Genomic DNA, 15,910 nt, shown 5'->3' with positions numbered 1-15,910 from the left:
AAAAAAAAAAAAAATTACTCTTTATCCTGATAGTCAATGGGTTTCTTTTTTTCTTTTTTCTTTTTTTTTTTTTTTGGAGACAGAGTCTCACTCTGTCGCCCAGGCTGAAGTGCAGTGGTGCAATCTCGGCTCACCGCAACCTCCACCTCCTGGGTTCAAGCGATTCTCCTGCCTCAACCTCCCAAGTAACTGGGACTACAGGCGCACGCCACCACGCCCAGCTATTTTTTGTATTTTTAGTAGAGATAGCATTTCACCATGTTGGCCAGGATGGTCTCAATCTCCTGACCTCATGATCCACCCGCCTCGGCCTCCCAAAGTGCTGGGATTACAGGCGTGAGCCATGGCGCACAGCCATCAATGGGCTCTTAATATGGCTCCCAACTATTTTTCTGGGTGTTCCCCTTTGGATAAAGCTCTCCCTCCCTGCTCCTTCCCTCCAAGACTCCCTTCCCTCCTCCCTCTAGTAATTCAGGTCCTCCCATGCTTGAGGGACTCTCTCAAGGCCACCTCTTCTGAGAAATCCTCCTGAAAGACCCCAGGAAGAGCCTGTACTGTTTTCTACTTCCTTTGACAATTAACCACACGACACCTTGTGTGACGGCCCATTACGCTACTGAACTATCATTCACATCCTGGGTATTTACAGTCTAGCATCCCATAATAGTTTGTAAGTTTCTTGGAGGCAGGGACTAGTGTCTTCTTCCTCAAAGGGCCCATCATATTAGGAACTCAATAAATAAATGTGTTGACAGGTATTCCGAGTGATGTAGCAAAATAACAGACCGCTGAGGCCAGGATTATTTGAGTAAAGATTTTTTCCTGTACAATAATAATAATACAATAATTTTTAAAACACCCACTATCCCACCACACAAATGAAATCAACTATTATTTTTCCCTGTTCCTCCTGGACCTTGTCCATAAGCACAGGTAATATTTATATAGTTGTATTCACAACAGAAACACAATGTTAGCCTCTGATATTTTTCCCCCTTCACACTGCGTTTCTAAACATGCTTTCTCACTTGGGAATGAAAGCCTGTGTTTGGTCCTGCAATTCTTCTCATGGGGTTACTAGAACAACCAACCCAGCATATGTCGAGCTGTGCAATTCCATTCTTTCGTAACATAACTTTTTTTTCCCCTTCCATAGGCAGCTTCTCTCCCCCAAGTGTTAAAGCAGATTTTCCAGAACATCAAAGGTCTATTTTCACAGGAAAGCACTCAGCTGAACATGTAGTAAAACAGACCGCCCCCGCCAAAGCTACAGCCACAGCAGAACCCTCCCTGGCCAATGGGTCCCTCATTGAGATTTGGGGACTTCCCCGTGAACACCGGACAGGGAATCCTGTGCTCCAGCAGTCCTGCCCAACCCCGCTCTGGCCTCTGATCACCAGCTGGAGCCTGGTGGTCCTTTTTCCCTCATCCCTCCCTATGAAAAGTGTGTTGCTGTTTCTCCCTCTCTCCTCCTCACTCGGCCAGTTTCTACCTTGGGGTTTCTATCTTAGGTGTTGATGTTTGCCTGGGGCTGTCCCCCAACTCCTCCCCAAAGCCACTCCCTTGCCCACGATCTGCTGCCACCAAACACCCAGGGACTCTGCCTGAAGTCCCATTTATTTGCCTATTTACATGAAAAGTAATAAAATGCTCCCCTCAAAAGAGGATGTGGATTTAGGGGTTTCAACAGAACCAGGCATCAGCTGGGTTCTCAAAATGTAATACACAGAATCCAAGAAAAGTGCTGCAAGCTAATAGACACTCCCAAAATTCTCACAGTAAGTGAAAAGATTTGTCTGATTCCATCCCCAGACAAGAAAACAGCACTGGGGAGAACATGTCCTACCAAAGCAGCCATTTGTGTCATTTAATAAGTGTGTTTAAGTGTGCCTGGATTCCTTTCCCTAAAAAATAAGCAAGAACAAAAATACACTTGGGAAGAAGGAACAGGTCTTAGTGTTCGACAGAATAGTCAAGTGACTATAGTTAACACTAATTTATTGTGCATTTCAAAATAACTAGGCCGGGCACACCGTGGCACACACCTGTTATCCCAGCTACTCAGAAGGCTAAAGTGGGAGGCCCTACTGAGCCCAGGAATTCGAGTCCAGCCCGGGCAACACAGCAAGACCCTGTCTCAAAAACAAATAAATAAAGGTATTTCAAAATCGCTGGAAGAAATGAAATGTCCTCAACACAAAGAAAAATGTTTGAGGTGACAGATGTCTCGATGACCCTGATTTGATCATTACAGACTGTATACACATATCAAAATATCGTATGTACCCCAAAAGTATGTAAAAGTATCATGCACCAATCAGTTAGTCCATCAATAATAAGCATGAAGTTCAATCTTGTTAGTGATTAGGGAAATGCTAGATAAAACCACAACGAGATTCCACAAGATTGGAAAAAATGTTTTAAGTCTGAAAATAACAACTGTCTATAAGGATGCAGAGCAATGAAAACTACAATATATCACAAAAGGTGCAAGTGCAGAAAGAAGGGGATCTTTGCAATGCAGTTTCTAGTTAACCTGAAGTTGTAGATACCCTAAGACTCAGCAATTCCACTCCTAGATACACATTCTGGTAAACTCATGTATAAACACCAGAAGATATATACAAGAATATTCACGGTGAAAAAAAAAAAACCAAGAATATTCGCTGCAGCACGGTTTGAGCTAGCCAAAAATTAAACTCGGCAACTCAAATGTCCCTTAAAAGAAGAAAAGACAAGGGGTGGCCCATTCATTCAATGAACACGCTACAGCAATGAAAACAAATGAGCTGCAGTTGCCTGCATCAACATGAATGAATGCCACAAACACCACATGAATGGAAAAAAGTATTCTAATACAAGGGTGAAAAGCAGGCAAACCCAAATGTGATAGGAAGGCAGGCAGGTAAAACCGGGAAGAAACACCCAGGGGTATCAAAGGTATTGGTAATATTCTCCTTCTAAGCCGGATGGTGACTATGTGAGTATTCCTATTTACACGGAGATCTCACATGTTTTTGTATGTATGCGATATTTTATATGTGAGGAAGGAAAATTCAACTAAACTCAGGTTGCACTCCTCTCCTCTCAGCACCATCACTGTCCTTCTGGGACCTTGCATCCGCTCTAAAGAAACCTACTTCTTAAGGGTGCTCAGTACTTACTACCACCTTTTTCCCTTGTGTCAAGTCAAACTTCTATCAAGGAGACACAAAATCAAAGGGAAATGAATCAATCCATCCATACCACAAAGCAAGATTTATTCTAGAAAAATCCCTGTATCCACACCACTTCACTAACTGGGGTTGTAACAACACTGATAAGGCTTCTGGGATGTTTTGTTACATAAGGAAGGTCTCCGTGTCTAAGAACTCCTCACAGCCCCGCCTCTCCCAGAGAAGAAACAGGAGCTTACAAAGACTTTCTAGGACCTAACAAGTGAGAGATACACTCTGTCCCCTGCCTCACTGATATGGTTTGGCTGTGTCCTCACCCAAATCTCATCTTGAATTGTAGCTCTCATAATTCCCACATGTTGTAGGAGGGATCCAGTGGAAGATAATTGAATCGTAGGGGCAGTTTCCCCTGTACTGTTCTTGTGGTAGTGAATAAGTCTCACAAGATCTGACGGTTTTATAAGGGGAAACCCCTTTTGCTTGACTTGCATTCTCTCTTGTCTGCCACCATGTAAGACATGACTGTCGCCTTCCACCATGATTGTGATGCTCCCCCAGCCACGTGGAACTGTGAGTCCATTAAACCTCTTTTTCTTTATAACTTACCGAGTCTCGGGTATGTCTTTATCAGCAGCATGAAAACGGGCTAATACACCCATGAATACATCATCTTAAAGGTGGCACTCAGCATTTCCTTTGACAATGAGGCATTCCCAGTGGAAAGTACAAAATGGTATGTTTAATAGGATCTCACATTTGTAAATCATATTTGTAGTACACGCAGAAAAAATATAGAGAAATATACTCTAATTCATTAACAGTGGTGGTAGCAAGGAGGCAGCCCTACGGAAACCTTTACTTTTGATGCTATAAATTCTCTAATATTTATTTATTAAACACATGCATTATTTATGTAATTGGGAACATTTTTTAAATGGATTTTAAAAGAAAGCAAGCAAGATAAAAATTCCCACCCTCAGGAAGCTTCCAATCTGGCTGCTAAAAGTTAAGACACCTGGAATGAGAGTAAACAAGACAGCATTAAAAAAAAATCCCACTGCTTGGTCCTTAGAGGAGAATGACAGCACGTCACCAAAGGCCATCTGCCCATCTCAGGCAAGGAGTGCCTATGGAGTTAGGAGAGATCAGCTAGATACCAGTTTCAGAAGGGTATGTGGGCAGTAAAGCCGTGCGTGGGTCCACGGTGCTGTGTAGAGATGGGCAGAGATGAACAGAGTGAAGGAAGCGACAAGCCAGAAGCCAGGGTCTCCCTGCATCCCCGAAGGCCTTAGTTTCCCAGTCCCCAAGGCAGCAAGGAAATAATCTGCCCTCCCTAGAGGTCATCACTATGAATGCCCATAAACCAAAGGCAGGCACACCTCATTTCATTGTGCCTTGCTTTATTGCACTGTGCTAATATTGTATTTTTTACTAATTGTAGAGCTGAGTAAGTCTATCAGCATCATTTTTCCAACCACGTGTGCTAACTTCATGTTTCTGTGTCACATTTCAAAATATTTCAAACTTTTTCATTATTATTATAATAATATTTGTAATGGTGATCTGTGATCTTTGATGTAACTGTTTTGGGGTGCCACAAACTGGCAAACTTAATAAATATTAAGATAAATATTGATTAAGATAAATAAATAAATAAGATGGCAAACTTAATCAATAAATATTGTGTGTGTTCTAACTGATCCACTGACCGGCCATTCCCCCACGTCCCTTCCCCTTCCCGCAGGCCTGTAGACACAATACTGAAATTAGCCCAATTAATAACCCTACAATGGCCTCTATGTGTTCACGTGAAAGGAGGAGTTACGTGTCTCTCACTTTAAATCAAAAGCTAGGAAGGCTTAAGCTTAGTGAGGAAGGCATTTCAAAAGCCCAGACAGGCTGAAAGCCAGGCCTCTTACACCATACAGCCAAGATGTTAATGCAAAGGAAAAGTTCTTGAAGGAAATTAAAAGTGCTACTCCAGTGAACACATGAACGATAAGAAAGCAAGACAGCCTTATTGCTGATACGGAGAAAGTTTTAATTATCTGGATAGAAGATCAAACCAGCCACAACATTCCCTTAAGCCAAAGCCTAACCCAAGGCAAGACCCTAGCTCTCTTCAATTCTATGAGGGCTGAGAAGTGCAGAAGAAAAACTGGAAGCAGCAAAGTTGGTTCATGAGATTTAAGGAAAGAAGCCATTTGTTTGACATAAAAGTGCAAAGTAATACAGCAAGTGCTGATGTAGAAGCTACACAGCAAGTTATCCAGAAGATCTAGCCGAGATCACTGATGAAGGTGGCTACATTCAACAACAGATATTCTCATGTATACAAAAGTCTTTTATTGGAAGAAAATGGCATCTAGGACTTTGATAGCTAGAGAGGAGAAGCCAATGGCTGGCTTCAAAGCTTTAAAGGACAGGCTGACTGTCTTGTTAGGGGCTAATACAACTGGTGACTTTAAGTTGAAGGCAATCCTCATTTACCGCTCTGAAATTCCTAGGGCCCTTAAGAATTATGCTAAATCTACTCTGCCTGTGCTCTATAAATTTGAACAACAAAGCCTGGATGATAGCACATCTCTTTTTTTTTGAGACAGAGTCTTGCTCTGTCACCCAGGCTAGAATGCAACGGTGCAATCTCGGCTCACTGCAGCCTCCAACTCCCAGGCTCAGGCAATTCTCCTGCCTCAGCCTCCCGAGTAGCTGGGATTACAAGCATGTGCCACCACACCAGTGGGGTTTCACCATGTTGGCCAGGCTGGTCTCAAACTCCCACCTTGGCCTCGCAAAGTGCTGGGATTACAGGTGCAAGCCACCACACCTGGCTGACAGCACATCTCTTTATAGCATGGTTTACTGAATATTTTAAGCCCACTGTTGAGACCTACTGCTGAGAAAAAAAGATTCCTTTCAAAACATTACAGCTCACTGACAACATACCTGGTCACCCAAGAGCTCTGATGGAGGTATACAAGAAGATTAATGTTGTCTTCATGCCTTCTAACCAACATCCATTCTGCAACCGTGGATCAGGGGTAATTTCAATTAATTTAAGAAACATATTTTGTAAGGCTATGCCTGTCATGGATAGTGAGTGATTCCTCTGATAAATCTGGACATAGTGAAAGGAAGCCCTTCTGGAAAGCATTCACCACTCTAGATGCCATTAAAAAATTTGTGACTTATGGAGAAAGTAAAAAAAAAAAAAAATCAGCATTAACAGAAGTTTAAAAGAAGTTTATTCCAACCCTCATGCATGATTTTGAGGGGTTCAAGATTTCAGTGCAGGAAATAACTGCAGATGTGGTGGAAAGAGCAAGGGAACTGTAAGCAGAGCCTAAGATGTGACTGAATTGCGGCAATCTCATGATAAAACTTGAATGATGAGGAGTTGCTTCTTATGGATGAGCAAAGAAAGTAATTTCTTCAGACGGAATCTACTCCTGGTGAAGATGTGCACGTTGTTGGGAAGGTAACAAAGGATTAATAATATTACCTAAAAGTAGGTGAAAAAGCAGCTGCAGGGTTTGAGAGGACTGACTGCAATCTTGAAAGAAGTTCTACTGTGGGTAAAATGCTATCAAACAGCATTGCATGCTACAGAGAAATATTTCGTGAAAGGAAGAGTCAATCAATGTAGCAAACTTCATCATTGTCTTATTTTAAAGAAATTGCCACAACCACCCCAACCTTCTGCAACCACCACCCTGATCAGTCAGCAGCCATCAACATTGAGGCAAGACCCTCCACCAGCAAAAAGACTATGACTTGCTAAAGGCTCAGATTTTTGTCAATTTTTTTTTATCAAATGTATTTTTTAATTGAGGCATGCACATTGTTTTTTAGGCATAATGTATTGCACACTTAATATTGACTACAGTATAGTGTAAACATAACATTTATATGCACTAAGACACACAAAAAATCATCTGACTAGCTTTACTGCAATATTCACTTTATTGCAATGGTCTGGAACTGAATCTGCAATATCTCCAAGGTGTGCCTGTATAATCTCAACCAAGCCAAAAGCAATATTACAAATATACTTAAAAAAAAAAAAAACAAAAAAAAACTGGGCCCAGCATGGTGGTGGCTCACACCTGTAATCCTAGCACTTTGGGAGGCCAAGGCGGGTGGATCACAAGGTCAGGAGTTCAAGACCAGCCTGGCCAAGATGGTGAAACCCCATCTCTACTAAAAATACAAAAATTAGCCAGGTGTGGTGGCGCGGGCCTGTAGTCCCAGCTACCCAGGAGGCTGAGGCAGGAGAATGGCGTAAACCCAGGAGGCAGAGCTTGCAGTGAGCAGAGATCGCGCCACTGCACTCCAGCCTGGGCGACAGAGTGAGACTCCATCTCAAAAAACAAAAAAGCCTTAATATTTCAAAATAATTTTTGAATGACAGAAGAAATGCAAAAATAGCTTAGAGTTCCCCATACCCCTCATTCAGCTTTTCCTAATGTTCATCTCTTACATAACCACGATGCATTGATCAAACTAAGAAATTAACACTGATTCAATATTCAATACTATTAACTAAACTACATGTTTTATTTGGATTTCATCAATTTTTTTACTGATGTCTTTTTTCTGTTCAAGGATCCAATCCAGGATACATGTTGCATTTTAATATTATTTGTTTTTAAATATGTAAACATTTTATGATTATTTATTCTTCCTTGGTAAGTACTGGTACTCTGGGCAAAGACTTAATCCTTCTCCCTATCGTCAAAGAAAGCAATCTTTGACACGATCTTCTGGCCTCCAAAGGGAACAGAATTTGATCCACAGTGAGATAAAAACCCAGACAATGACCAAGCCTCTTAACCTTCCATAAGCAGCCACCACCCTGGCCTCTCTCCACAGCAACTAACTGGTATTTAAAAGTAATTTATGTTAATTGCAGTCGGCCATATATGAACACTACAAAGCCAGCCGGCTTCAAACAAAAAGGCTCAAGAGAGGAGCCTAACAAAAAATTAATTTTGTAAAAGACCTATTTCTATTCCAACTTGTTTTTAAATGTATGTTCTGAGTCACACACCATTAACTGTCTCAATTTATTAATAATCTCAGGGCAACCAACTATCTCAGATAATGCAACGATGAAATCTTGCATAAAAAAAGAAAATGAAATATCTATATGCAAACATTAAGCAGGTAGTCAGCTGTGATGACCAGAGAGGATTATTATTGTTTTTTAAACCAGAACATGTAGTAAGGCAAAAAAAAAAAAAAAAAAAAAAAAAAAAAAAAAAGGAAGGCTGCGTGAACTGGTAACTCAAACTTTGTAAAGAAAATTCTTCTCCTCTGAGCATGAGATTCTTTTAGAAAGACCAGTTCAAAGAAAAGTTCTATGGAATTCCTTCCTCCTCTCCCCCAAGCAAAGATTTGTGACGGGAGCAGAAAGCCCCATATTCTCAAAGACCCTTCTTTTCGCTGAGGAAATGACGGTGCTGTTTTGGCATTTTAAAGCAAGAACAAATACTTTAGCTATAAAATCCACTTTGTAGATTGAATCAGCAAGACAGCTGTTTATACAGAAACCCTTTCCTTTCTCCCTCCAAGCCCCTCAGTGATTCATATCAGCAATAAAACATTGGCTAGAACAAAGAAAAACGGAGTTTAAAGAAGAGAGACACAGGGCACACCCACCACCTTAATAAGTCTATTCCTTAACAGATAGAGCCTATTTCAACTTAGCCTATTTCCATGAATAATATTTCTCAACCTACCGCACCTGTATAAAAAATAATAATAATAATAATCCCCCAAAAACTGACCAACTTTTTGCTGCAGAGTCAGAAACTGAGTTCTTATTTGTGTAAAATGCTCAGTGGGTGTGACACAACCCATCTTTGATATGCTCTGGGCTTTGAAGTATGCTCTCTTTTTAGCCATGGGGAGCCTGATGACTCACCAGCACCCTTCTAGCTCCCCTCCTTGCCAACTGTCAGCCATCTCCCTAAGCAAGCAGGGCGGCAGGGCCACCAGATGCTGGGCAGGAGGCGTATTAATTCTCCTGAGTGACAGAGGCTTGGGGAAAGAAGTGGGCAGCGCTGCACAGAAAGACACATGACCATGACCATCCATCATCAGAAGCTAAACCCCAGGACCCAGTTTGCACTGGAGGGTGGGCACATTCCCCCCATCCCAATTCTTTCCTGTTCACTCTTCAAGGCCCAAGCCAAATGCCACTTCCTCTATGAAGCCTTCCCTGGCTCTCCCCAGAAACGACTCTCTGCTCGGTGGTCCTGAAACACCTTTAGCATCCTTCGCCCGCTGATCACCTGCCTCCCCAAACAGACACACACTCAAAGGCAAACTAGGCCCTTCCCTCATCTCTGTAACCCTAGCCCCCTGGCCTGCACCCAACCCAGAGCAGGGGATCAAGAAATGTTTGCTCAATGAATGAACCCAACTCACCTACCCCAGAAACCACATTACTAAATGCTAATTACCTCTCACTGCATGAATAATGGATGAGGAAATGAAATAACAAATGTCTCCTTGTTAGCCAAGTCGCCAAGTCCTTCGGGAGCACAAACACAGGATCGACTGACTTGTGGCTGTTGTAGGATGGGTCAGAGACAAGACAACTCATCTTGAAGGGGTGAGAGGCAGGGAAGGAGGAGAACCACATTGGTCCAGCAGCTGGCAGTACCCTGAGATGTTACCAATCAAGTTCTAGACAACTCAGACTCACTTCTTCACCTTCCCCAGCTTCAGCTAGCCCCTTGGAGTTGATTCTTGCATGGTATACTTGGAAACATTAGCAGGAAGGCAAAGAGTTGCCCAAGAATAAGCTCAACTCCTTTTTCTCCCGTGAAACTCACCCCCAACAGTGCCACGCCAGCTTTTGCCACATCTCGTTCATCTGCCACGGCCCCCTGAGATATGCCTGCCCCTGCACCTGCCGGCACTTAAAAATGAAAGCCAGATGCTCAAACAGCACCCAGATGAAGTGCTATACTGGAGCAAACAACAAGGCAAGATTTATGATAAAGGAGGTACCGGATCTCTTCCCACTCACTGGAATAAAAAGGTCAAACAAATATCCAATTTGTGGCTGGTCAGAGCCAGATCCTCCCATGTCCAAGATTCATTCTGTCAAAAATAAACAAGTCCGCCTCCAGAACATAGGGACATCTGCAGGGTCCCCTCCAGCCCCTCTCCTCTAAATCCCACACTACCCTGGAGAGACAGTACCACAGAGATGCACACAAGGTGACAGAGGAACTTTTTTCAGTTTCCCTGAACAAGCCTCAGAAAAAGTGAACATGCATTGCCTATCCATTTACAACATCTAACAGCCCATATTCCTTTAAAAAAAAAAAAAAACAGGCTGGGCACAGTGGCTCATGCCTGTAATTCCAGCATTTTGGGAGGCTGAGGCGGGCAGATCACCTGAGGTCAGGAGTTCGAGACCAGCCTGACCAACATGGAGAAACCCCATCTCTACTAAAAATACAAAATTAGCCGGGTGTGGTGGCGCATGCCTGTAACCCCAGCTACTCGGGAAGCTGAGGCAGGAGAATCGCTTGAACCCAGGAGGCGGAGGTTGCAGTGAGCCGAGATTGCGCCATTGCACTCCAGCCTGGGCAACAAGAGCAAAACTCCATCTCAAAAAAAACAAAAAAAAACAAAAAAAAAAACAAAAAAACAATAAAGCACTGATTACATATTCAGAGGATGTGCTATATATCCAGGAAAAAATTATGATCAGATACTTGAGCCTTTTCTAATTCTGCAAATAATCAAGTAATGGCAAGGTACAGCCAAGCGCTGTTGCAGCGTGAGGAGGAGGCGGAGGTGGAAGGAAGCTCTCCACATCAGGATCGCAGTGCTCAGGCGTTCAGAGCAGGCCTCAACCTGACAGCCCCGTGGGTCCAGGAGCCTCCCCGCCTCCCATGCTGGAATGCGAGCTGTACATACCTCTTGGTGGTTTCATACTCCAAGCCGGAAGCAGGACAAGTCATGTGAAGGCCATTCCAACAGTAGGGCCCTGAGTCTCTCCCCAGCCTCCCCTGTGGCCCCAGGCTCTGGAGCAAACACCATTCTCAGTTCACCCAGGGGTGGCTCTGAAAACCATGGGCACTGGGTAATGCTGACCAAGTCGACTGACTTTTTTTTTTTTTAACCTTAATGAGCCAATGCAGTAAATTCTTCAAATGTTCTCAGATTTACAACAGGTGACCTCTACAAAAGAAAGAAACCACTGTCTTATTTATTGGTTCAGAAGGTCAGCTTACTACTTAAACGGGTCTTTTTCTGAAACCTTTGGTACTGGGAAGAACTCTCTCTCCTTGACAAATCTTACTCCAAAAGTCAGGGTTTTCGTCTAGCGGGTTTTCTTAAAGTGGGGCATACCTGTGAGAGGGAGGCTCTTGGAGGGTCACTGTACATTTATACTTCCTTCAGCAACCAAAGTCTTAGGCCCCTAAAGCAACTCACAGAAAGGCTGTGAACTCTTCCAACCGTGCTGGCCCCAGAAAGGCTCCTTTCCCTCCTAACACTTTGTGAAATGACTCGCTCGCTCCCAAGGGCATCGTGGAGCCACATCTCCAGGTGAGACCAAGGTTTCCAGGCCTCAGCATCCTTTGGGGACCTGGTTTCAGTCACAGATGTCCAGGCACCTTAGCAACTGGAGATCCACAGGTGAGGGACCCCCCACCAACCTCCATTTCTAACAAGCACCCCCGAGGGGTTCTGATGGAAGTACTGGCTGCTCACAAATCCACCCTTCCTCCAGGTACCCTGCCACCCCAACCCCACTGGAGTCACCAGGTCTAAGGCACATGGGAGAGTTTGCCTCTCACCCCTCCTCCTTTCATACTCACTCTGCCCCCTGCTCTGGTCCAGGCCCTGTTCTCTTAGCTCCCTGGTCTCCCCCAGTCCATGACTTATAACACTGCCAAGAATTTTCTCTCTAAAATATCAATGTGATGATGCCCTGGCTCCTAAGCCGCCAGGATTCCAGACTGCCTTCAGGCAAAGTCTCTATCTCTTGAGCGGAATGCAGAACTTTTCCTGCTCTTGCCCCTAAATCACCAGTCCAGCCTCCCCTCCCATTCTCTAGCCCCTTCCCCCAGGCAGCTGTCCGAGGGTCTCCCTAGCCCCCAATCCACTGGACCTTCTCGGTGAATGCGTCCCCTCCTCTACGATCCTGCATTTTCACGCAGGTCTCGCCCACTAGCCCTCCTGAGGAGGGGGACTGTCTAGCTTTTGTTTCCATCCCTGACTCCCAATCTCCAGCACAGCACTCTGCCCATGGTAAAGGCTCAATCAGTGAGTTCACTCCATGAACAAATCCTCTCCTGCCTGGCCTGGTTAGTTAGAATGGCGGGGGAGAATGAGGCTGGGGTCTTCAGATGAGATCGGGCACATTCAGGGTGGTATGGCTGTAGACAGTGGGGTCTTCAGTTCCAGCTCCCCCGTCCTTCACTCAAAAAAAACCTATTCAATAGGCAGCCACTTAAACTTCTGGCCACAAGCAGGACAAGGCCAGGGTATATTGACAGCTCAAAACAATCCAGTCCTACCGTAGAGAAAACAATTCAAGTGCGGGACCTGCTGACAACAGGTCAGGTGTGTCATCTCCACACATAAGAAAAAGCAGCAGAGTCGATCCATCTTTCAGCATCCCCTAATGGTACTAAGCAGCATGTTTAGCTGTTATTTCAATAAGCCTTATTAAGACCCAATTTTCTTGGGTCTTCTTTCAGATTCTGCAACATTAAAAGCCTCGCTGCTTAATTACATTAGGAGCACCTGTATATATTATGTGCAATAAATCAACTTTAATTTACCACCACACAAGGCTATTCATCTTCTCTGGGTTATTTATTGCTCGGTATTATTGGTGGTGAATTGTATCCTCTCTGCTATACGGAAGAATAGTTGGGGTAAGAAAGCCAAAGCTGTATTTCAGAACACTCCGGGATGCTGATCACACATGTACACAGCGAAAAGGAAAGAAAAAGAAACATATAAGCGAATCTTGGCAATCTGCTCCTTGCTATTTTCCTAAAACACTCCCCAAACATTTTGATGTTTTCTTTTGCACGCATGCACACACATACCAGTTACCCGCTGAAACGACACAACCTGCAAAACAGGCCCACAGCTCTCGCCGGCAGAATTGAGTATGGGATGCTGGCTGAGCTGAAAAACAGGGACACTCCATGGGCCAGAGGAGACAAGTCTTCCCTCATCTGCTGCTGCCCCCAGTCCTAACGATGGGGTGCAGCCAGGACCTGACACCCAGGGGCATCTCGCAGAGGTTTACACCCAGGACACTGACGCAGGGCCCAAATCAGGCCCCCCAGCGTGGGCAGAACTGTTTCCCAGATAATCCAAGGTGGAAGACACTTCTCCTTGTGATGACACGGGGGCCCTTCATTCTTTAAGAATCTGACCAACACTGCCATTGAAGGAGCCACCAGGTTATATGCGGGCTCCCTGCAATATCACCACCTGAGATATTAAACACTGAGTCCTGGGCCCCAAGACTGAGACACCGATTTCAGCATGCCCAGGAATGGGTTCACCTGATTTTTCTGCATAGTAAAGTCTGAGAAGCACTTTCCTAAAGCCTCAGGAGCCAGGCTAACCATCTATTATAGAATAATATAACCAGGCCAGGGACAGTAGTTCACACTTGTAATCCCAACATTTGGAGAGGCCAAGGCAGGAGGATCACTCGGGGCTAGGAGTTAGAGACCCCCACCTGGGCAACATAACAAGACCCCATCTCTACAAAAAATTTTTAAAAATTAAATGGGCATGGTGGCATGTGCCTGTAGTGCCAATACTTGGGAGGCTGAGGTGGGAGGACTGCTTGAGTCCAACAGTTGGAGGGTACAGTGAGTTATGATCACACCACTGCACTCCAGCCTAGGTAACAGAGGGAGACTCTGTCTCTAAAAAGAAAAACTAAAATAAATTAAAAAGAATAGTGTAACCAATGATAATATAATTAAGGATGACTTCCTTACCCCTGGCCAGGCTATAGGCTCAGCCCTTTTCTTGCACAAATTCCTCAAGATGACCCCAGAGTAGGTACTATTACTCTCATCCCCATGTTATAGATGAGAAAACTGAAGCACAGAGAGATTAAATAACTAGCCCACAGTCCCACCTCTATAACTGGCTGGGCAGTCTGGTCCCTGCATCCATGCTGTCAACCATGGGCTATACTGCCTCTCCAAGGCCAGACTCCCCACACCCTCTCCAACTGGACAACCACCTTCTTTGGTTCTAAGCAAAAGAGAGGCAAAAGTCACCAAGACATCATGGGCTCCGCTTCTACTCCATAAAGCCATCTGGTTCTCCTAAGTCCAACATCTAAAACTACTTCATGGCAACTTGCCGGCAACACACAGTTCTGTCTCTGAGCTTCCCACCAACGTGATTCAGCGAGCTTCTCACAAGAGCAGGGTGCACCGGGCTGCCGGGCAGCACTCCTGCAGCAGAGGGAAGCCAAATCACTGGAAGCCGAAGTAGCATCACTGAGTGTTTCACGGCCTCCTCCTTCTCACCAAGGGAGCTGTGATGGATTTTATGGCACACAAGTGACTTTTTTACAAGCACAGCAGCAACCTCCAACTTTCATCTGATAATTTACCTTTAATCAGGGCCTAGAAAAATCCCTGGCCAACCAATCCCACCAGACAGCTCCTTCCAGGCTCGTCTTACAGACGACAGAGAGAAATAAAAGGGAAGAGAGGACGGCAGAGTCCTGGCAAGCAAAACTTTTTTTTTTTAATGAATTCATTTCAAATAAAAATCCATTCAGTGCATGCAGAAAAGCCAGTCCCTCTGAGTGACAAATTTGTGTGTGCCAGGGATGAGAGAGCAAATCAAACTCGTGGAGCTTGCAACCAAACTCCTAGAGGCCCAAACACAGGACTGCCAAGAGCCCAGGAGTGCAGAGTCATTCTGCTAAAAGAAGTTCCCACTCCAAAAAGCTCTATAGAGATGCTGGCCTGGGTGGAAACGTCCCCTCTCCCTGCCCTTTCACTTAACCAAAAGGGAAGACCAGCAGGAGCCGTGGAAATCAAACCCAGGGCATGTGGCTAGCCACCTGCGGGAGGCTGGGGCCTGGACCAGGTGATCTCTCCAGGCACTTTCCTGCTCTTGAATTTCATGAATATTTCATTGTCCAGGTTCCAATCCATGCAGAACAGAACCTCAGAAAACATACAAATATTTCCCCTTCTTATAGAGAAGTGACCTATAGTGCTAGACCAATGACTCTCATCTAAGGGTGACTGTGTCCCCCAGGAGACACGTGGCAATTGCTAGCTGTCACAACCAGGGAGGGATTGCTACTGGCATCTAGTGGGTAGAGGCCGGGGATGCCGCTAAACATCCTACTACAGATACAATGCACTCCAATGCACCCCCACTTCCCCAACCTCCACCCTTGCAACAAAGAATAATCTGGCTCAAAATGTCAACAGTGCCAAAGTTGTGGACCCCTGGCCTAGAGCACAGAAGGTAATCAAACGCTCACACTCCCAGCCTTCCCACAGCCTCCGTTCCCTGTAACACCACTCACTCCCAGCACCTCTCTAAATCAAGCAGGAATTAGAAACCAAACTGCACCATCTATCATCTAGACACTGGGATCCACCCTCAGCTGAGAGCCAAGGGTCTGTGCTGATTACAGCCAACCTCCCTCAGTCTCCGGTGCACGCTGCTCTCAGGCAGAGGCCAGAGAAAAG

General features: G+C 44.8%; 1 protein-coding gene across 10 annotated transcripts in view, besides 1 other annotated feature; it reads right to left on the bottom strand.

The window, feature by feature from the left end:
- MSI2 (musashi RNA binding protein 2) overlaps positions 1 to 15,910 on the bottom strand; it is a 445,731-nt gene that overhangs the window by 397,149 nt on the left and 32,672 nt on the right. The gene's annotated exons all lie outside the window — the stretch shown is intronic.
- Positions 15,624 to 15,799: a silencer, noted in NCBI's record as "fragment chr17:55365995-55366170 (GRCh37/hg19 assembly coordinates)". NCBI's record gives its function as "represses an EF-1alpha promoter that drives an FKBP-Casp9 reporter gene in an ReSE screen in phorbol 12-myristate 13-acetate-treated (for megakaryocytic differentiation) K562 erythroleukemia cells {active_cell/tissue: K562(+PMA)}" and the evidence as "EXISTENCE:reporter gene assay evidence [ECO:0000049][PMID:32094911]".

Source organism: Homo sapiens, chromosome 17, assembly GCF_000001405.40.
Source record: "Homo sapiens chromosome 17, GRCh38.p14 Primary Assembly".
NCBI lineage: Eukaryota > Metazoa > Chordata > Mammalia > Primates > Hominidae > Homo > Homo sapiens.
Note: the sequence above shows the minus strand (reverse complement) of the source record. Positions and strands in the feature narration are given on the sequence as shown.